The 21,748-nt window shown below is 38.6% G+C and overlaps 2 protein-coding genes across 5 annotated transcripts in view, besides 3 other annotated features; one reads left to right on the forward strand and one right to left on the reverse strand.

The window, feature by feature from the left end:
• Positions 4,632-21,101, reverse strand: SLC25A32 (solute carrier family 25 member 32). 3 transcript variants are annotated; one of them, NR_102338.2, is made up of 8 exons: positions 20,778-21,101; positions 19,417-19,525; positions 13,628-13,778; positions 10,770-10,855; positions 9,158-9,318; positions 7,935-8,048; positions 7,510-7,655; positions 4,632-6,540 (listed from the first exon to the last, which is right to left on the reverse strand). NR_102338.2 is itself a non-coding variant. In NM_030780.5 (7 exons), exons 1-7 carry the CDS (start codon positions 20,929-20,931, stop codon positions 6,405-6,407), a joined length of 948 nt encoding a protein of 315 aa, NP_110407.2. In that variant the 5' UTR covers positions 20,932-21,101; the 3' UTR covers positions 4,632-6,404. The 3 variants fall into 3 exon arrangements, 1 of the variants encoding a protein (NP_110407.2); NM_030780.5 differs by lacking the exon at positions 19,417-19,525; NR_102337.2 differs by lacking the exons at positions 10,770-10,855; positions 19,417-19,525.
• Positions 20,767-21,388: an enhancer, noted in NCBI's record as "H3K27ac hESC enhancer chr8:104427001-104427622 (GRCh37/hg19 assembly coordinates)". NCBI's record gives its function as "activates a minimal SCP1, AML or CMV promoter by ChIP-STARR-seq in primed H9 embryonic stem cells {active_cell/tissue: H9 hESC(primed)}" and the evidence as "EXISTENCE:reporter gene assay evidence [ECO:0000049][PMID:30033119]".
• Positions 20,767-21,461: a biological region, named in NCBI's record as "H3K27ac hESC enhancer GRCh37_chr8:104427001-104427622".
• Positions 21,122-21,461: an enhancer, noted in NCBI's record as "active region_27791". NCBI's record gives its function as "activates an Ori minimal core promoter by ATAC-STARR-seq in GM12878 lymphoblastoid cells {active_cell/tissue: GM12878}" and the evidence as "EXISTENCE:reporter gene assay evidence [ECO:0000049][PMID:35858748]".
• Positions 21,380-21,748, forward strand: part of DCAF13 (DDB1 and CUL4 associated factor 13) — a 28,068-nt gene continuing 27,699 nt past the window's right edge. For both annotated transcript variants that reach the window (NM_015420.7, NM_001416065.1), the window contains exon 1: positions 21,380-21,510. In NM_015420.7, coding sequence (NP_056235.5) covers positions 21,441-21,510 — 70 coding nt within the window. In that variant the 5' untranslated portion in view covers positions 21,380-21,440. The remainder of the gene's footprint in view (positions 21,511-21,748) is intronic.

Raw genomic sequence — 21,748 nt, forward strand, 5'->3', positions numbered from 1 at the left:
GGCCATATAATAGTCTTAGTTCAGTGTTGTCTGTGGTTAGATGGGTATATGATTCTGGGGCTTGGTATAAGGGAACCTACTTTTACACCTATATAAGCCTCATTATCTAATTTTAGCTTTATCATTAATAAATGCAATATCCCATGCTCCCTCTTCCACATCTTGTCTATGTCTGGATTGGCTTGGAACCTGGGTGGGAAAGAGATCAATGTGAATCACTTAACAAAAACAGCTTGCAGCTTTTCCTTTTGTTATGTTCAATGTGAACTGGTTTTATAATTTCCTAGCCTTACAGTGGTACAAGTCCAATATCATAATATTGAAATTTAATACTAAACACAATTCTGGAATATTAGATCTCAGAAAATCTACCAGGGAGAACTTACAAATCATCCAACTTTTGTACAGTTGGACCTTCCACCATAAGCATATTTTATTTTTCTATAAATCTTCTACCTTTGTGCCTTTCATGAGCTGAATAATCTCTTTAACTTATATAAATATCAAACAATGTTTTCCTATAAAACTGAACACATTTTAAAGAAATTATGTGACCACACAATGGCCCCAAAGTGCTCAATTTTCATAAAGGTGACTTCGATTTCCACAGAAACAAGAGTCCACCTAGATCAAAACAGCTGATGGGGAAGTGACATACAGAATTCAGGGTATAACAGATTCTGTGTCATCCGCGAAGTTTTCACTTGCAGCAAGTGATAGAAAAACCAAACTGAGACTAGCTTTAAAAATACAGGAAGTCGGCCGGGCACAGTGACTCACACCTGCAATCCTAGCACTTTGGGAGGCTGAGGTGGGCAGATAACTTGAGGTCAGGAGTTCGAGACCAGCCTGGTCAACATGGTGAAACCCTGTTTTTACTAAAAATATAATAACTAGCAAGGTGTGCTGGTACACGCCTGTAGTCCCAGGTACTTGGGAGGCTGAGACAGGAGAATTGCTTGAACCTGGGAGGCTGCGGTTGCAGTGAGCTGAGATCATGCCACTGCACTCCCACCTTGGCGACAGAGCGATACTCCATCTCAAAAACAAACAAGCAAGCAAGCAAACAAACAAACAAACAAACAAAAAACCCCCAGGAAATCTACTGGGTCACCCAGCTGAAAACTCCAGAAGTACATGCTGCTAGGGGTAAGGGTTGATCCAGAATCCCATGCAACACAACAAAGTACCTAGTTCGTTTCTTTCAATTTCTTATTGTTACTTCCTTGGTGCTGACTCCATTTTGGACAAACTAACTCTGCTTAATCTATGATTCTAAATTGGCTTTGAGAAGCTCTAAAAATTAGCTCTAAGTTCTTTCACCTTGAGTATAGTGACATAAATTCTGTCTTTGTTGTTTCATGAATGAGGAGGTTCCTCTGTCACCCCTAATGAGGATTCATGAAACAGTAAAGAGAGAATTTATGTAATCAGGGGGAAAATGTCTTTAAGAGTCACTGATCAGACCAGCTTAAGTAACTATGTCAATTCCAAACCACTCGTTATGAATAGAGATGGCACATTCAGGTCGGCTCTGTTTATTAGGGCCTATCTCTGGCGCAGGTGAGGCTGATCCCATCTAAATCACAAAACTGAAAATGGAGGGAGGGGGTAGGTTCCAAAAAGAAATTCAGGGTCCAGGTGAGGTAGCTCATGCCTGTAGTCTCAGCTATGAGGTGGGAAGATCCCTTGAGTCCAGGAGTTTGAGCCTGCAGTGAGCTATGATCACGTGATCACGTCACTACACTCCAAACTGGGTGACAGAGCGAGACCCCGTCTCAAAAAATAAACAACAACAAAAAAAGAACTTTAGACTACTACTCCAAGAAGGAAGAAGAGACGGATGCTGTGCAGCCAATTAACAGGTATTCATTACAGGTACTTCCAGAGTCTTTCTCCTATTTAGGCCTTTAGAATGAAATTTAAGACTTTAACCCCAAACCTCACATAGTTTCTGCATGTTACCTAACACATCTTTTGAAAACAGGCATAACGGTAACTAAATCATGTCATAGGATTTTCTTCCTATAAGCTATTTTACAATAGCTAAAGAGACCTTGTTATAAAAATGGTAATAATACATACTTTATCTGGAGGATTTTATATTAAGTGTCCACATTCAAAAGAAAATATTAACTCTGATGACTCATAAACTCCAACATACTTTTTAGTTGATATCCCTCTTTTAGTGTGTTTAGAAGACATGACTTTCTAAATATTGTCAGACTACAAAAGCACGTATTGAAATATGATAGTCTTCTTTTCACAAGGCATAGTACCCATCATTGTCCATTGTCTTTGATTACATTCTCTGGTGCACAGCTCCAGCAAGTTGGTTTTTTTTTTTTGTTTGTTTGAAACGGAGTCTCGCTTTGTCGCCAGGTTGTACGGTGGCGTGATCTCAGCTCACTGCAACCTCTGACTCCCTGGTTCAAGCTATTCTCCTGCCTCAGCCTCCAGAGCAGCTGGGATTACAAGCACGCACCACCACGCCCAGCTAATTGTTGTATTTTTAGTAAGTTTCACCATGTTGGCCAGGATGGTCTCGATCTCCTGATCTCGTGACCCGCCCGCCTCAGCCTCCCAAAGTGCTGGGATTATAGGCGTGAGCCACCGTGCCCATCCCCTTAGCCTGTATCTTTATCTTCAAGGGTTCTCCCTACAGCCATGTTCTGGTTTTCCCTTTGCCAACCTCTCCTACCTATACTCCTTCGTAGAACTGCAGTACCTTTACAAGCTAAAGTTCTTTACCTTCCTTTCATCTGCCAAAATCCAGGAAAGAAGAGCCCATAGTGAAATAAATACTTACAGTCACCCCACCCCCTAAGTTGCTTGCAATGTGTCATCAGCCTCTATAATTCAAATCTGCTTTATCAGTGGCATCAATCTTCATCCTACTGAAATATCTATTGGTTGACTAACACCTTCTGTTTTGAATTTGTTCCTCCTGTCTGACCAGTCTTCCTCTGTCACCCCTAAGCAGTAGCCATGTCTCTCTGTTCTAATTACTCTTACTTCTCTTTTACCCAATAAAGCCCACATAGGTTGTCAGGCTCTGAGAGTTCTCATGTCCTGGTCTCAATCTTCCATCTTTCTCTTCCTTTTCCTTTTATTATCACATTAATTGACAACTCACTGTTCAAGGCAGGTCACCTGTGCTTTCCTTTTTCCATGGTTCCCTCTGGAATCTTCATTCAATGCCCAGCTTAAATGTTTCCCCCTCCATGAACCCTGCTCTAGTTCCCCCAAGCTATAAATCACCACTTCAGACTCCATCGACCAGGTCCAAGCTGCCACCTGCTCATGACTCGACATTTGTAAAAGCTTCCCAACTAGTATTCCTGCTTTTTTGCCTTTCTCCTGTTTCCTCTATACAATCACCAGAATGATCTCTCAATCAAAACTCTTCACCATGGCCTACAAGGCCTGGTCTCTGCTAACATTTATTGGCCCAGGCACACTAAGCGCCTTTTAAAAATTCATTAATTTAATCCTCTCAATAATCCTACGGCTATGTACTTTTAATATCCTCATTTGCAGTAGATGCTGTTGGTGACTTACCCAGACCCCTTTCACAGGACTGGTGCACCCATACCCTAGCTGCTGTAGGTGTTGGCTGGTAAGAACTGACACCTCCACCCTTATCTGGAGGATTGCCCTTGGCTGAGGAGAGGTAACAGTCACTCCTCCATCCTTTCTCCCTGTAGCCAGTGGTCCGTGACAGCCTGATGTGGGAACCTAATGGCTCAGCCCCTTCAACTCTGGGCAGGACAACGCTGGGCCCAATTCATTCAGCAGAGTGCCCTATGAGTCAGGGTGAGGCTGCACTACTCCTGAAACTCTTCTTCCCCGGCCTTACCCTGCTTGCTTTACTCCATTACAGATTTCTCCTGAAAGTGCTCCCTCAATCACTTGCCCAAGAATCCCCATCTCCGGCATTGTTACAGAGGAAGTGATCTAAGACACCATTTTACAGATCAGGAAACCTAAGACAAAGAGGGCTGAAGTGATCTGCCTAAGGTCAAACAGAAAATGGGAAAGCTGAATTTTGAAGCCAGAGGGCCTGGCTGTCCCACCTGAGCTCTTTCCCACCATACTGCAGTGGCCACTTCTCCAACCTCCTCTCTCTCCTCACCCATCCCCTCTAGCCAACTTAATTCCTCCCTCAGGCCCTTTTTACTTCCTGTCCTCTCTGCCTAGAATGTGTTTCCTCTCACTGTGGCTCGCTTCCTCACTTCTTTCAAAATGTTCCAAATACTATCTCAGAGACCTTTCCTGACCCCAACCATACTACCTAAGATAGCAACACTATTCCCCCGTTCTGCTGTAGTTTTATTTATAGCATTAAATACCTGAAATTACATTATGCATATATTTCCTTTTCTGTCACTTACACCAAGATGAAAATTCCCTGAGGGCAGGAATATTGTCTGGCTTATTTATTGCTATATCCTCAGTGCTTGGTGACGTACCTGCCAAAGAGCAGGAGTTGAGTGACTATTTGTTGTTGAATGACTGAAATTGAGTTCTCTTCTGTCAGAACTCTTACCAGGCTTTGTGAGATATTCCTTACGAGTTCTTAATCTATAGCTGTAATTATTTAATGCATATTTATCTATCACACAAGCTTGTATGCTCTCAGAGGACAAGAATTATGTTTTATTCATTTGGGAGTACATAGGCGGTATTTAAACAATGGTGCTATCTTAAACACCAAATATCAACTGCAGTTCACTTTTTCCGTGTGGGGACTAATATCAAGATTTCATATGAATTATAGTATAATCCAGAAGTATGAAAAAATACATCATATTTAACTTATAAAGCATTCATCTGCATGTTATAAGATATTACAGTAAATACAATTAGGTACTTACCATTTTATCTTTACTTTAAAAACAATGCCTTTTCCAAAATATAAAAAAAAGACCTATTTTTAAAGAACTATTTAAAGATGGCTTTGAAAACAACACTTTTATTTACAACAAATAGATGGTAGTGCAACAGCACTCGTGGATGTTTACGATAAATAAAAATACTAGTATTCTGGCATCCTTTGGGTACAGGCCCTTTTATATTTATAGATGTCTACAATGACTCATAAAAGTAAAATCAATAAAGGCTATTAATTTGTATTTCAACCTGAATTTGAGAAACCAATGAAGATTAATCATTTATTTGGGATCTAGATCCATATATCTGAAAACTGAAGTATAAAGTTTCTCATTTCCATTTACCTTGTCAACAAACATATCCCAAACATTTCAGCATCTGTAAAAGGTGATCTATTTAGCATCTGTAATAAGTGATTTATAGTTATATATGCTAAATAAAGGTTGACACAGCTGGATCCTAGAAGCTCAGATTTTATAAATTTAAAATAGATTAAGTATTTATGCCAAAAAACAAGAACTGGATCTAGGATTTTATTTTAAATTATGGAAGTCTCTGGGGAAAAAAAATAGCAATGGAATGACAATAGATGTCAGATATTTCTCTGAGAAGTATATAGTTTCTCAATTTTCGCTAGGTAGTGCATCCCAACTGAATTAAAACTAAAGCATATTTACAGTGCATTTTTTCTCACTAAAATTTCCCAATTCTAAAATGGTCTGGCCAGGCGCAGTGGCTCACGCCTGTAATCCCAGCACTTTGGGAGGCCAAGGCAGGCGGATCACAAGGTCAGGAGATTGAGACCATCCTGGCTAACATGGTGAAACCCCATTTCTACTCAAAATATAAAAAAAAGTTAGCCAGGCGTGGTGGCAGGTGCCTGTAGTCCCAGCTACTCAGGAGGCTGAGGCAGGAGAATGGCGTGAACCCGGGAGGTGGAGGTTGCAGTGAGCTGAGATCACGCCACTGCACTCCAGCCTGGGCGACAAAGCAAGACTCCATCTCAAAAAATAAATAAATAAAAAAATAAAATAAAATGGTCTGGATTTGGTCAACACCTTATTCAGTAAATCCTTAATTTACCTTGAGACATACAAAGACATTCTTTTAAAGAGCTATTTTCTTGGTATTGCACAAAGGTTAATTTTAAAGCAATCCAGGCAAGTAAGCTCACAAAAAGAAGTACATTCATCTAATCCATTTAGCAAATGTTGCAAATCAGCTTCCACCAATAAAACGTAGAAATCTGTGAAACTCTATCCTTCGTGTCAGTTTTAACATTGTGTTGATGGCAGCCATTTCAGGCAGAGGTAGCCAAGTTCCATATATATGGGGAAGGCAAAAAGCAAGAAAAACATTGCAGGAGACTTAGCAGTTCTCTGGCTTCTAATGACTATAGAGCAATTTCGAATATGAGCCATGTTTCTATGCAGAATTCTTCTTTTATGCCTTAAACACAAAAGAGCTTGTTGCTGCCTTGGGCAGATATACTGGAATTGTCCTCTTTGAGCTTACTTTCTCTTTTCTCTAAGGTCAAGTAAAAAATGTGAGACGTTTTCATATACCACAAAGGTAATACAGCAGGCTGGAGTCACTCTAATCAAATTAGGAGCAATTCCCTTGTAAAATCCACCGACGCCTTCTTTCCTTTAGAGGGAAAAATAGATAATGCTTAATTTTGTATAGAGCTAGCTTGAAAACACGGAAGTTCTAACTGACACAAGGCATGGAGCAAGCAGCAGTCAAACCTTACTCTGATTTAAGTTCATGTTTTCAATGTCCTAAAGTAATGTAGTTTATAAGCCATCTGTAGGGATTTACATTCCTTTTATGGATGGACTGAGTAAGAGAGGGTAGGGACACCTCAAAACTGAACTAAAAAGTGCTTTCAATTAGCTATCTTTCAAATGCTTTTAAATGTATGTACAAGCAGGAGTTTTAATTGACCTAATGTAGGCATTAAAAAACCTCATAGCTTGGATAAATGCTAGCCAACATTAAATACAGCACATACAAATATAAAACTTTATTTCCTTAATGCCAATAATATGGAATACGGCCTAGAAATTTGTCACTTAGGTGCTCATTAAATATTTCTTGAATTGAATTAAATTTAAACATCCTAAATGTTCTCCTCTGTTCCTTTAGAATTAAAGGGAAATATGGTGATGTCTGCCTATAATAATTTAACTAGTCTCATACTGAAGAACAAACATCTCTTTCATATATGGAAACAAGTATTTGCAAAAGTTATGGTGCCAGTAGCAGGTGTGGAGCCTTCTTGAATGTATTAAGCTAGTCTTATGACTTCTTATATTCAATACCATTCAGATATTTTATAACACCTAAATTTTATTTTCCAAAACATTTTCACACATTTAATTTGATTCTTATAACAACCTATTAGTTAGAAAGTCTTACTTTACAAATGAAGAAATTAAGTCTCAGAGAGATTAAGGCCATGGTCACATACGTAATAACTGGGAAAGCAGGGACCACCAATCATGTTTTCACCACAGCAAACTGGCCTTTGCTATAAAACTAGTATCAACAGGATGGTCTAAGATATGCAAGGTACCTTGTCAAAGCAATTTTTGATATAGCACGTGCTCTCACCTCCATGTCTTTGTGATTACATCTATTACACCACTGTAAAACATGTGTTGATCCTGAAGACGAGCTCTTACGACTTGATATGGGTATGTTGCTGCGACAGCAAATATTTTGGATAGTGCTGCAACAGATATATATTCTACTGTGCTCTAAAATGGCAATACAAAACAGTTTTTTCTTTAGACAGGATTTCTTTAAAAATACAGAAGTAAAAATTATATACAAAAAACATTTAAATGGATCTTTAAGGGATTCTATTTTTGACATTTGTGTGGCTTCAGCCTATAAATATTTAACTATAAATTAAATCAGTGGCAGAGCCAGTACTCATCATCATAGCACTACCACCAAAGTAAGCATGACAAAAATTTCTACCTATTAAATACCCATAAAAGGAAATGATATCATTTTTACAAGAATAATCTTACCAACTGGGCTTCTGGTAATCTATTGATATGCTGGTTGTACTTCAACTTCAGCAATTCATATGCCATAAACTGAAGGGCACCATGCGATGTTCCAAACAGCCCAGGAACAAATCCCTACAAGGGAATGATTTTTAAAAAGCAAAACAACATACGTTTGAAGAACAATATATTTAAGTAAAATACTTTCTCTTCTCTCTCATTACAGCACTTTAAGCAAATTCATTTAATTTTGCACAAATCACATTTTTAAAATATGGGGTTAAAAACTTGTAATATAAAGACATGGGTAGTATTCTCTTCTACTTTATTTTTAAAGGTTTGGATGTTCACATATTAGTTTTTCTTTAAACAGTATACATATAAAGAAGACCCACACTGTCAAGACTTGAGGTGTGAGTGGGAAACTAAATTCTGGAAAGTTAAGAAACTAAAGGTAATGGTAAATCAATGAACTGAGCATAGGTATTCTGAAAGAATAAGGCAGAAAGTGACGAAAAAACATAAAAATAATATATTTATAAAATTCTTGCTTATAGGTCAGTAAAATCATATCAGCCTTAAAATGATTTTAAAAGCTATTACTCAATTCTTGAAAAACAAACTGAAATTCAATGTGTCTAATTTTGATTTTAACCTATGTATGCCTAAAAATTTCTTTATGGGGATAAGCAATAGATGGGAATAGAAGGCAGAAAAGGGGAAAATAAAAAGGAGTTATAAAATCAGAAAACAGATCTGACACTAGGAAAAAAATTTTTAAAATATTACAACAGGCAAAAGGCTGGGTTTGATTTGTTTCGTTATTTTTAAATTTATGTAAGATTTGAGATGAATAAAAAAACTCAATAAAATAAGATCCTGTTAGAACTGCTAATGTCTTCTCCAGACTACATTATCCCAGGTCCCCAAGAGACCACAGCTTCCAAGGAATGGAGTAAGGAATAAGTGACCTGGTTGTATAACTTATCAAATAGAAACTTGACAAAGTTTTAGACAGATCTCATGCCCACCAATGTCATGATGATACATCCTATGTTAATGGGGACAAACAGCTTAAAGTACAATTTCAGTATTATTAACTATATTTCAGTTTTCATTAAATTGTTTTTTGCCTAAGTGTGGCTTCTTTTTAGGACTTACTATAGGTCATTCAGAACTAAGACAACAGAGCCAACGGAAATTCAAATTTTTCAGTTATTTAAAATATATTGATAATTTGTTACCTTATATAATCCACGCACACCTTCATACTTATATATTTTCACAAGTGTATCAAACATTCCTTTATATTGTCGGTGTGGGGAGTTAACAACAGCATCATACTGTAACATAAGGCGAGTTTTTGTTACCCATAATGGGTTTGTAATGCAGAGGGTCATGGCTCCTAAAATGAGATTTCAATAAGATTATTCAGCATACAGATACTTTCGCACTTATGACAACCCAAATTAGAAACAGTACATTTATGTAAAAAAAAAAAAAAAAAAAAAGATAATGCACAGGACCATATCTGAAACTGTGAAATGTAGTTTCTGAGGCACAGTCTTAGGGTCAAAAGGTAGACATTGTTTTTGGTAGTCATAAAAAGTTCCTCATGCAGTTAGCTAGAGGTAAATTAAAAGGGAGATGGAAATGTGAAATGCTTTCTCTTTGAAGTGTAAGGATAGCAAAAATGTCTTGACTCCTAAACAACGTGGCCTGGTGCAGAGAACAGATGGTAAGCAGATACAGACCTTAGGTGTAGCACATGGTATAATCCCAGAGGGGTTGAAGATAGGCGAAAAGAACCAGGAATCTGGCACCCCAATAATCTGTGCATGTGACACATATATCTACCCCAACTTTATCACAATCTTCCTCAAATCCAAAGTAACTACTACCCCTCAAAAATTAAATAATTATGTAATACAGTAAGTCACATTTTACATCCTTTATAGAGTGACAATTTTATTAAAAAATTCATCTGGTTAAGTTTCTCATTTGCCAGGTTTCCTAAGTAGTCCTTTATTCAACAAATATTTGGTCCTGTTATGACTCAGGTTTTTGCTAGTGGCTATGTGTTCAAAAATGATTAAGTTAGGTTTTGACTAATCAACATTAAGAAATCAAGGTATTAAAGTAGGAGTTACAAAGACTTACGGCTCTTACTGTTTTTTCCTTCTGGATAGTATACATAAGTGAGGCGATTAAACAAGGCTACTAAATTGTATAATTTGAAAATTAAAATTATACTTTAAAGAAACACTATACCAAATCATTTTAAACCATTAGGGATTCATAACTTTTCTAAACTTTACCACTTTGTCATGAGTAAAATTCTTGAAATCTGCACAGAGTAATCATAATAATTTCTGCTAAGAAATTCCATATAACAGCCAGGCGTGGTGGCTCATGCCTGTAATCCCAGCACTTTGGGAGGCAGAGGCAGGTGGATCAAGAGGTCAAGAGATCGAGACAATTCTGGCCAACATGGTGAAACCCCATCTCTACTAAAAATACAAAAAATTAGCTGGGCGTGGTGGCACGTGTCTGTAGTCCCAGCTACTCAGGAGGCTGAGGCAGGATTATCGCTTGAAACCCGAAGGCAGAGGTTGCAGTGAGCCGAGATAGCGCCACCGCACTCCAGCCTGGGCGACAAGAGCGAAACTCCGCCTCAAAAAAAAAAACCAAAAACCGAAAAACAAACAAACAAAAAAAACAGAAATTCCATGTAACTGATTTAATACAGTTAGATGGGCATATTTAAACTCAGGTGTTCAAAGAAAAGAAATCAAAAACCAAAACTGAAAATTAAGTTTGGAAGGTGACATTTTTATATTTCACACATTGCCTTACCAGCTTCAGCAGCTGAGACAAGGTATTCTGTTGCCTCTAAACGTTCAGCTCTTCCTTCTGTTTTATATGACTTGATGGCATTGTAACTAAAAGAATTAAATGTGAGCAGTTTAATTTGAATAGGTGTCATTAAGTCTGTTTTAAAGTGTATGTAAGTCAACAGCAGTACCCCAAAAGCACAAGTCAATGCATAATGCAACCACAAAATGAGACCTTTTTCAAGAATGAATTTGCTGGAAGTGGTTTGCTGCAAGATTATACCACCCCTCCCTCTCAAATGAATACGGCTAGCAATACAAATGTAAAATATTTTAATCAGACACTCATCAATTAACTTCAAAAGACAAGGAAACTGGGAGGAGGGGAGAGTACAGTAGTGGTACACAGACTGGCCATAAAAGACAAAAGGGACCAAAGAAGGGGTACCTAACAAATATATACTGAGCACCTACGTTCAGGTACTATAGTTAGCTTTCTAATAGATGATAAAAAGATAAACAAGTGATGAATTTTTCTTAACAAATTAATAAGGACTATTAAGTGGCACACAAATAAATCATAATAAAAGACAACACAGACAATAGAAGAAATTCAGGAATTATGACTGAGATCACAGAAGGCTTTGTGTAGGAGGTAGTATTGAGCTGGGTATTGAGACAGGCACAGTTTCAACAAGGAAAAAGATGAGCATGGTGAAAAGTAATAAGGGTGGGTGGGAAGACAGGGAAAATTGGCCACACTTGAGTGGTAGATTGAGATTTGCATTTTATTTGGTAGAAAATATCCATTAAATGTTTCAGAGTAAGGGAGTCAAATCAGCCTATTTCCTTTAATGCCGATTTCTACTTTTCTCTTGGATGACGATGTCAAGTGAACACATTCTTTCTTTTTTTTTTTATTTCAGAGACAGAGTCTCACTCTATCACCCAGGCTGGAGTGCAGTGACACAATCATAGCTCACTGTAACCTTGAATTTCTAGGCTCAAGCAATCCTCCTGCCTCAGCCTCCTAATTAGCTAAGACTACAGGCATGCAGCATCATGATGCCAGACTAATTCTTTTTTAAATTTTTTGAAGAGATGGAGGTCTCACTATGTTGCCCAGGCTGGTCCTGAACTCCCAGACTCATGTGATCCTCCCACCTTGGCCTCCTAAAGTGCTGGGATTACAGGTGTGAGCCACTGCACCTGGCCCAAGAAATTCTTATCACAAAAATTTTATATGGCTTGTCCTTAGAAGCTGTCTTGAAGAATCTATACAACTCAAATTCATGATGTGTGTGTGTGTGTGTATATATATATATATACACACACACATATACATAAACATATCTATATATACATATATACATACATTCTATACACACATATATATGTCAAGGGGGGTGTGTGTGTATATAGTTTCACACACACCTCTCTAAAGAGAAGAAAAAGAGAAAAAATATTTAAACAATTTTAAGGCTGAATTTTATTTTGCTTTCACTTAAAAGATACTTTAAGATTGGTTTGGATACTGCCATAAACTTATGGGAGATCAAGCAAAATATATGACACAAAGAAGACAAAGGCAAATACACTAGATACTGATGTTTTCCTAAAAATGAAATCTGTTGAAGCAAAGAAAAGCTTCCTTATTCATGGTTTCAGTTTCACAGATCAGAGGCGTGCTCAGAGCAGCACATGCTCCTGCAATACAGTGCGATGATGGTTTGTGTCCATGTTCTTGTTCACTAAATAAGCTGAATGTGCCTGCCACAGGAACTTTCTATGGCTTCTTCAGGAGGCAGGTGAGAGCAGTTATTTTAAATGGTGATGATATCTGACTGGTGAAGGAGTAAGGAAAGCAATGAGCTGGGAAGATGATGGGGCAGGTCAAACAAGAAGAAACAATTTGCCTCAAACCCTTTAGGCCATGCACTGGCTTTTGCTTTCTGTTCCCAACAGCGATTTCCTGTGGTACCTATTCATATGAGGACCCTAAGGTCTATCCTCTCTGTTTTTCCACCTTCATCATAAACAAATGTATTTTTGTAAGCCATCTCAAATATCTTGGGAATCTGGTTGAGGATAAACAAGTAATTAATGATACTTCAGTATTTATAAAATTTTCTATTTGGGACACTCCGGAACTAATCTCTGATAAACGGAAAAAATAACTTAGTTATTTAAACAATCTTTCTTTATCAAAATTGAATACCAAAGAGAGCTGAAATCCACAGGATTCATTTTGGACAACAGCTGCAGGCTCTTCCAGTCTCTACATCACTTTCCAAAATCACTAATAAATAACAAACCGACTGATTCAACTTTTTCTAATCTAGTAATATTTTGACTCTAATTAGAAATGCTCACAAGTATGTATTGATATGGCCAAAACACCTAATAAAACACCGATGGGGCCCTACAATTTCATTGTGAATTATCTGGAGTTGGCTGTTTTTCAAATGGCTTTAACTAAAATAAAAAGCTCTCTTTAATATGTATTTAGCTTACAAAAGTAATCAGTTATACATTTCATCTTCCTGAATTCACCTCACAGAAATGGCTTCTCTAAAAGTATCATTCCACCTCATCTCTTTGCCTTTTTCCTATTAAGAATTTTCTTCCAGACCAAATAATGCCTCTGATAATAGCTAATAAGCCATTAGCTATTAATAGGCATCTGATAATCAAACTAATAAGCCATTTTGAATCAAACTAATCAAATAACTAATCAGCCATTTTGTTCTTCCTGATCCTTCCAATTCAGAGAAACTGATTAAATGACTCAACTTATCATTTTACATTTACATGTAAAAATCACCGAAAACAAAAATTCCTTTTTAATTTAATACTGTAAAATCTCCCAAATCTACTCACAAGAAAAAGTAGAGTCCCCAGGATAAACCTGCACCCCATATATTTGGGGTTACTCCTTGATAAAGTCCCCGTAGTCCATCAAGTTTCCAAATGGTAGTCAAGCAATGTAAAATTCCATTATATTTCGGTCTCAGTTCCAATCCATCACTCACTGCATCAAGGGATACACAAAGTCAGGTAAGAACAAAGTTCTAGCTCTGTATCACATATAAACACAGACACTGTACAATTGGTTATATAAAGGAGATAAACTTAGAAGAAAAACTTTTTTAGGTAGAAAAAATTATTTTCCAGGCTTTTATATATATATTACATATATATATAAATATATATATATATAAATATGTAAAATATACATTTTTGTGTCAGAGTCCCGCTCTATTGCCCCGGCTGGAGTGCAGTGGCACGATCTTGGCTCACTGCAATCTCCGCCTCCCAGGTTCAAGCAATCCTCCTGCCTCAGCTCCCCTAGTAGCTGGGATAACAGGTACACATCACCATGCCCAGCTAATTTTTGTATTTTTTTTTTTTTAAGTACAGACAGGCTTTCACCATGTTGGCCAGCCTGGTCTCAAACCCCTGACCTCAGGTGATCCACCCACCTCGGCCTTCCAAAGTGCTGGGATTACAGGTGTGAGCCACTATGCCCAGCCCAGGCTTTAATATTTTAAAACTACTACATTCATGAATTTATTCAAGTGTTTATTGAGGGCATACTAAGCACTCAAATAATATTTAAGGAAATATTAGATTAGCTCTTAATCCAAAAGTCTCTTAGGTAACTAGGTTTCAACACTTAGGTTTTGTTTTTGCTCCAAGGTTAAGGATTTGAATGTTAAAAAATATTACTCAAAAAATAAACTAGCTAGGAGCCTCAATTTATATCGAATGCTATCAAGACTGAGGAGTGGCAGGAAAGAAAATGCAGAGGATGGGGTAAACTTTTTTTCCTGGAAATTCTTTCTATCCTCCCCACCAACATATGTCAAAATCCAAGTAGAAAGTAGAAAAGCATTTCACTTGAACATATCCAAAATTGAACTAGTTTTCCCCATCCCTTCTGAAGCTGCTCTTACTAGAGTGTTCCATATAACTCAACAAACGCCATCATCATCTGCATTGATGCCCACACCAGATACCTGGGGACTATCCATGAACCCTCCTCCTTCCCATCCCTTTTTATCAAATAACAAGTCCTTTTGATTCCACATCACAAATTTCTCTTGCACCTGTCTATGTCTCAGTTCACACTGCCATCATCCTACTTTGAGATACCATCAGTTTTCAACTAGTATCATCAGCATTTAAAGTAGTCTTCTTGCTAATTTTGTAAAAAATATAATCTAGATTATAAATCTGGCACTTTTCATTTCATCTCTCTGTAGGAAACAGAAAGCACATTCAAAATAGGGTAACTCTAGGGCATGAGGGGTAGTTAAAAGGACTAATTACAAAGGTGTGAGCAGGTTATAGAAAACCACAAGGAATAATACAGTATCAATTATTTACTGCTTTGAAAAATCACTTAATTCTATAAGTAGAGTATTAAGTATCTCAGTAATCGGCAACGGCATTCTACATTATGCATACCATTCTACATTATACTACAGGATATCCAAACTTGTAATTTTACTATATATAATTTTGTATACAGCTTTGTTTTCCACTCAAGATTATTTGTGAGCACTCCCCCTTGTTATTCAACAGATTCCCCCAAATAAGATTTTAACATATGACATTATGGTTTTCCATCTTATAGATATCCCATGATTTACACAGTCATTTCTCCACCTGACCTATGAATTCTTTTTTTTTTTGGCTATTATAAAAAGTCCTCTAAACAACATTCCGTACAACAATCTGCATGAATGCTTATTACTGCCTTAGAATTAGTTATTAGAAAGGGAACTGATATGGGTCAATGGGTATAAACTTAAGTTACAAATACGTATTGAACCTGCCTTCCAGAAAGTTTATACAAATTACACTCCACTAGCCATACCAGCATCCCTGGTTCACTGTCCCCTTGCCACTACCTCACTGTGTATAATCCAGCCTGGCAAAGAAGGATCACTATTTACCATTGCCAGGAAAAGGGGGAAAAGTCAATTTCTTTCATCATTAACCTGCCAACGTTACAGCATGAAGGGAGATTAAAGTACATCAGGTTTTGTCAGAAGACCTGGGTTTGATACGTAACCTCCCTAATTCGCTACATGGTCTTACCCTTTCTGAGCTTCAGCATCCTCACTTATAAAATGGGGATAAATCATGTACCTCACCGGGTTTTTTGAGGTTTATATAAGACAACAAGTTTAAAGGCAGGCAGCAGAATGACAGGCTCTTGAGAAAGGTTTTCCTGCATAGTTTATAAACTTTCTGATGCTTCCCCTGGATTCTGTGTGTCTCATTCTTCTGTATAGATCCCTTTTTCTAAGAACTTTCCATTTTCCTCTCAATAATAAACTCACAATACCATTTCTCTCTTGAGGTAAAAAGCAAAACCAACCATAAAAACACTACCTGTTCTTTTCATAGGTATAAACCAATGCTGAACTATAATCTCCCTAACATAAAATTAAAATTGTTATATCGATAAAATACAGTAAATTTTTTTGGTCTAAATCAGGGGTCCCCAACTCCGGGTACCAATCCATGGCCTGTTAGGAATTGGGTCACACAGCAGCAGGTGACCTAGGTGGGCGGAGTACGAGCGAAGCTTCATCTGTACTTACAGCTGCTCCCCATTGCTTGCATTACTGCCTGAACTCTGCCTCCTGTCCGATCAGTGGTGGCATTGGGTTCTTACAGAATCTCGAACCCTATTGTGAACTGCACATGCAAGGGATCTAGGCTGCACACTCCTTATGAGAATTTATTGCCTGATGATCTGAGGTGAAACAGTTTCATCCTGAAATCATCCATACCTCCTCCACCCCCGTTCATGGAAAAATTGTCTTCCATGAAATCAGTCCCTGGTGCCAAAAAGGTTAGGGACCACTGGCTTAAATGACCTCATGATCATTTTAAAAACATTTGCCACTAATGAATTAGTATGTAGATCTAAGTACCTATCAAATAACTTACAATGGCCTATCACAGCACTAAAAAAATGCCAATGGACACAAGCTGAAGATAAAAAGTTTGGTGTACAGAAAGGAGCCAAGACAGGACACTAATTTTAAATTCATTTTCAAAGAAAGACAATATAATGACTTTAAAAAAATTATCATCTAGCACTATCACCCTTACACAACCTGTTTCATTTGCTGGATGTTAGTTTTACCCCTCCTTTCCTCTGTGACAAGTTTGTCTCTCTTAATAAAATTAATCTCCCCCCTACCTGTGCTCTATATTGGTGTTTTTAAAATTGCAGATGAATCAAGAAACCAATTGAACAGATTGCCAGTATCTTTTCTTTAAAACCAGACTGGAATTGAAAACAAATATAAATGACATTACAAGTAGTTAAGGATAAGTAATGTTTCATGAAACTTGTGTTTCAGTAATGTTTGTGTGTGGATAGCAAAGGTAAAATTTATTTCCTACTAAGCGTTCTGGTCAAAAATGCTTGTTCTAGATCCTGCTTCTTCAGATAACCCACCTTAGTTAGATACGTTACTCTTTATCCTCCTGCCTCCATTTCCCAATTTCTTCCTTGATTTCAGTTCTTTCCCATTAGTATTTAAATAGACTTAAGTCTCTCCTAAGTATTTCCTCTTTGATCTCAGTGCCCCCTTATCAGGTAAGTGTCTGCAATGAGAAAACCAGCCCCTCCCTGGCCCCCGAGACAATCTCAGCAGGGACTCTCTCACCCCTGCTGCAATCTGGTTTGAGCTTTACCAATTACTGCAAGCGCTCTAATTAAGAACCTTCAAAGGCACTTTGGAGTTCTCTCTTTCTTAGGAACCCCTTAATACACCTGATATTGTGTAAATCCCTCTCTTCTGGCTCATTTAACACCACATTTTCTTGAATGTCCTCTTGCTTCTTTGCCAATAAATTTCCTTGGCCCCCTTTTCTCTGCCCATCCTTAAATGCTGATTTATAGGCACAATTTCCACCAAATAGGGGTGGTGTCTCAACCATTAAGTGGCTTCAACTGCCATCCCTGTGCTTCTAGTCCTGGTCTCTTATTCCTAACATCCTGCCCTACTAAGGGTTGTGGTTCTACTGCCAGTTTCCATTTTCACATGGCATAAAAGATAATGTCAATCTGGCAGCTTAACTTTCTGGAATCATTCTTTATTTCCATCTCTAGCATTTTAATTTACCCTTTAGCTATACCAAACTACCCACTCATGGTTTCAAACTAACAGCATATGTTACGGAAACAGACTTTCTGAGCTTGAATCCCAGTTCTAGCAATTACTTTGCAACCCTGAGTAAGTCACTTGATTGCTCTGTGCCTGAGTTTTTCTGTAAGATAGGAAAAAATAATAGAACCTAACTCTAAAAATTATAAAGGATTAAATCAGTTAGTACATATAAAGCTCTTAGAATTATGCCTGACATATTGCAAGCACTCTGTAAGTACTAGTTTATTTATGCTACTGGGTCTTGCGATACCACATACTTACACAACTTTACTCGGCACTACTGTTACTGAATTTTACGTTTTGGTTCCTTAATATTTTGGATGTAGTCATAGTCTCTACATTCTTCACAAAAGCTCACACACAACTTTAACTTGCAGATTAGGCTTTTGGGTATTTGAGAAAATTACTATTTTTACATCTCATTCTTTGTTGGGGCTCTCTCATCATTCTTGAGGGTTTAAAATTACAGAGTAAAGTTAGAAGGGGCCTGAATAATCATCCAATCCAATCTTTCCACCTAATACAAGAATATCTTCTAACTTCTGTCATCCAACTACTATCTGAACCACTTCTGATCATCATCAATTTCATTTCTGAGCACTGCCACATTGCCAAACCAAAATCTGCTTCCTTGTAATTTCCACTCAACCTGTGTCTGACCTTAGGATCAACCCACAATAAGGCAGCCCCCTTTCCCACATGTAAGTTCTCTAAATATCTTGAGGTTTTTTTCTCTCCCGAGCTAAACTAGTTCCTCCAGTCATTTTTCATATGAAGTAATTTCTAATCTTTCTACCACTCTGGACACCTCTGAGTTCCAATTTATACTTGAACTCACAGAAAAATTCCAGGTTTGGTTTAATAGCACATGCATTCAGAATTAACCCCCACACCCTGTCATCATTAGATTTTAACTTTATTAAATGAGTTTAATTACATGGAAGCATAAAAATTATAGTATGTTACTCAGCACTGATGTTGATAATCAATAAATTTTTATTTCGTTATTCATCTTCTTAAGTTTTCCTCCTATCACCATTTCACAGCTACACTGTGAGCTTTATTATTACAAAGTCCTGCTTCCACTCCTGGATCTTTAATTTAGGCCTCCAATCCAAACTCAATCCTTTTATCTGTCACCTCAGCCCCACTAGTCTCCTAATACTCTTCCCAATTCATCAAGACTATTAATCTTCTCAGGTACCAAGAATTCCCTTTCCTCAGGAATGATATGCTTCAAAGCACTGTCTAAACTCATCAGGCCAACCACACTATTCTTCAATGATCACCTCGACTATCACCTCTTCTGCTCCTAGATAAAATGCTACTGAAGACAGACAGCAAGTCATACAGGCCTGCACCTGCAGGCAAGTCTAAAATTCTTCCAATGTTCAAACCATTGTATAACAGGTACTTATAGAGGTAATACGGTGAGGGGTTAAGTGCCAGAGGGTTCCAGAGTTAGATTACCTGGGTTTAAATCCCAGATCCATCTTTACAAACTTGTGACTTGGGCAAGTTAGTCAACTTCTGTTATCCTCATCTGTATAGCAGATATCATAAACTCACAGGATTGTTCCTGTGAATAGATTTACAGGATAATAAATGAGATAATGCATCTAAAGCATAGTTCACTGCCTTGCTCCTAGTAAATACTCGATAAAGATTACTTGTCAATAACATAATTATTTGTGCATGCATCATAAAACTTCATGACATTATATGTCTTTGTGGTGTTTTTTCTAGAGATAATACTCCATAATTTTCGATGATTTTCCTTCATAGAACGGGTTCTTGCTTCCTCTCCAGCTGTCAAAATATTAGCCCTTCTATGGGAAACCCCAAGCCCCAATCTTCCACTGAACCTTAAAGATACACATGGCCATCAGTAATGTAGAATTTTCTTAACGGTTTACCTGTATTTATATTTTGTTTTTGTATTTCTTGATTTTATGTTGTCTAGAATTACCTTTTATATGACTAAGTCTAACGCCTACAATTAAATTCTAAGTTCCCTGAAGGCAAGAACTTTATTAGATACTTCTGTAGCCCATACAGCAGTCTACAAATATTAAGAGAATATAAATCAAGTGAACTGAATTGCCTAATGCTAAAATAAACAACTTCTGTAGATTTAATTCTCAAGGCTGAACTTAACTTGTAATAACTTTATTTGGAAACTATTTTCTGCAATTTCAGTTATCAAAGATCATCTTTGAAACTCTTTCCAGACTTTAGTGTTGAGTTTAACTTCTAAAATGCTTTGTTAATTTCAACATACTCAATTCATCTAATACACTTAAAATAGTATTTCGATTCTAGCTATTTTTTCACAGAAACTTGTACCATTCTACAAATGCCAAAAAACAAACATTCAAGAGAATTCTATTCTAAATCTACTCCCAACCATTCGCTGAAGATTACGCCCTATCCCAATACTAGTCGAGCTGCCAAACCACGTGGGTATGCTAAGATTTCAAAGTTCCTCCAAGAGTGAATGATTTGCACGTGTGAGGACTAAACCTTAAAATGTGACAATCCCTTCTTTATTTTACAAATCAGGCTTTGAATCCCATCTTCTCTGCCAATGAGGATGTTTTTTCTCAGACTTCTCTACATACATGCCCCCTCTCTTAGTCTTGAGGAGCGGGGAAGATCGCAGGCCGACCCCTCCACCAAGCACCATTTCCTCAAATCTAGTTCAGGTTAGCCAACGCGGACAGCAACGCTCCCTTCAACGCTCCTCCTCCCCCTAGAACGGAAAAGACGGAGGAGATCCAGTTCGGGCTGACAGTGAGAGGATGCAGCCCGGTGTCTGGGCGGGCTCTTACCGGCGAAGCGGATCTTCACGAGGTCGAGCGGATGCAGCGCAAGGTTGGATAAGACGCCGCCGCTCACGCCCGCTATCAGGTTCTCATACCGGACGTGGCGGAATACCGTGCTCCACGCCGACGACCCGGACGCCGACTGGCCCTGGCCCGTCATAGGCTCGGGGCCCGTCGACACCACGGCGCCCAGGGCCGCGGAGGTGGGACGCGATGCAGTGGCCGCCACCGTGGCGACGGTCGCCCCTTGTGAGCGCAACCCCACCTCCGGGACCAACGAGAGGACTCTTATGCCCAAGGCGCGTGAGCGAAGCCGGAGACTCTAGTACTGAGGGGGCAAGAACGGGGCACAGACACTACGTCACGCCGGCGGAAAGCGCGATGGAGGGGAGGTCCCAGCCTCTCCCGAGTCTCCGCCCTGCCTCGCCCACAAATGCTCCAGCCCACGGACGCGGAAGCGACTGCACAGCTAAAGAACCGCCCCTTGCTAACGTTTGCCGGCAAAACTACGGAGCGGCGCAGGATCCAGTTGAGCCAGCAGGCCGCCGCTCCGCGAGTCACGTGACTGGAAGTAGTCTGGGAAAAGCGGAAGTCGCCTGTGGGAGGAGGTGGCGGTGGGCGGAACTCCTAGCGGACACCTCGTGGAGTCCGGCCGGAAGAGCAACCGAGATGAAGGTGAAGATGCTGAGCCGGAATCCGGACAATTATGTCCGCGAAACCAAGTTGGACTTACAGAGAGGTAAGATAAGTTGGTAGGGAGAAAGGGACGGTTTCCGCAAGTCGTTGGGTCTAGCCTCGGCTTTCGCGGAGTAAAGCCGGGGGAGGCTGGCACTCTGGTCTGGTTCTTTCTCAGTTACCTTTCGCTAAGGCAAACTTTGTGCTTACGGAGTCGCTGCGGAACTGGATGGATAGCAAGTAAAGTCTGTTCAAGTCCTTTTTCTAAGAATTTCCTCTAGTGGTGAGTGGGAAACAGTTGT

Source organism: Homo sapiens, chromosome 8 (assembly GCF_000001405.40).
Source record: "Homo sapiens chromosome 8, GRCh38.p14 Primary Assembly".
NCBI classification, from domain to species: domain Eukaryota; kingdom Metazoa; phylum Chordata; class Mammalia; order Primates; family Hominidae; genus Homo; species Homo sapiens.

Bases quoted from the DNA above. Each gene is read 5' to 3' on its own strand.
- SLC25A32 (NM_030780.5), bottom strand. From the start codon at position 20,931: ATGACGGGCCAGGGCCAGTCGGCGTCCGGGTCGTCGGCGTGGAGCACG. The intron at 10,856-13,627 runs GTGAGTAGATTT...TAATTCTTTTAG, and splicing joins TGGGGACTCTACTTTTTCTT to TTACAATGCCATCAAGTCAT. The intron at 6,541-7,509 runs GTGAGAGCACGT...TTCCCTCTAAAG, and splicing joins GTAATCACAAAGACATGGAG to GAAAGAAGGCGTCGGTGGAT.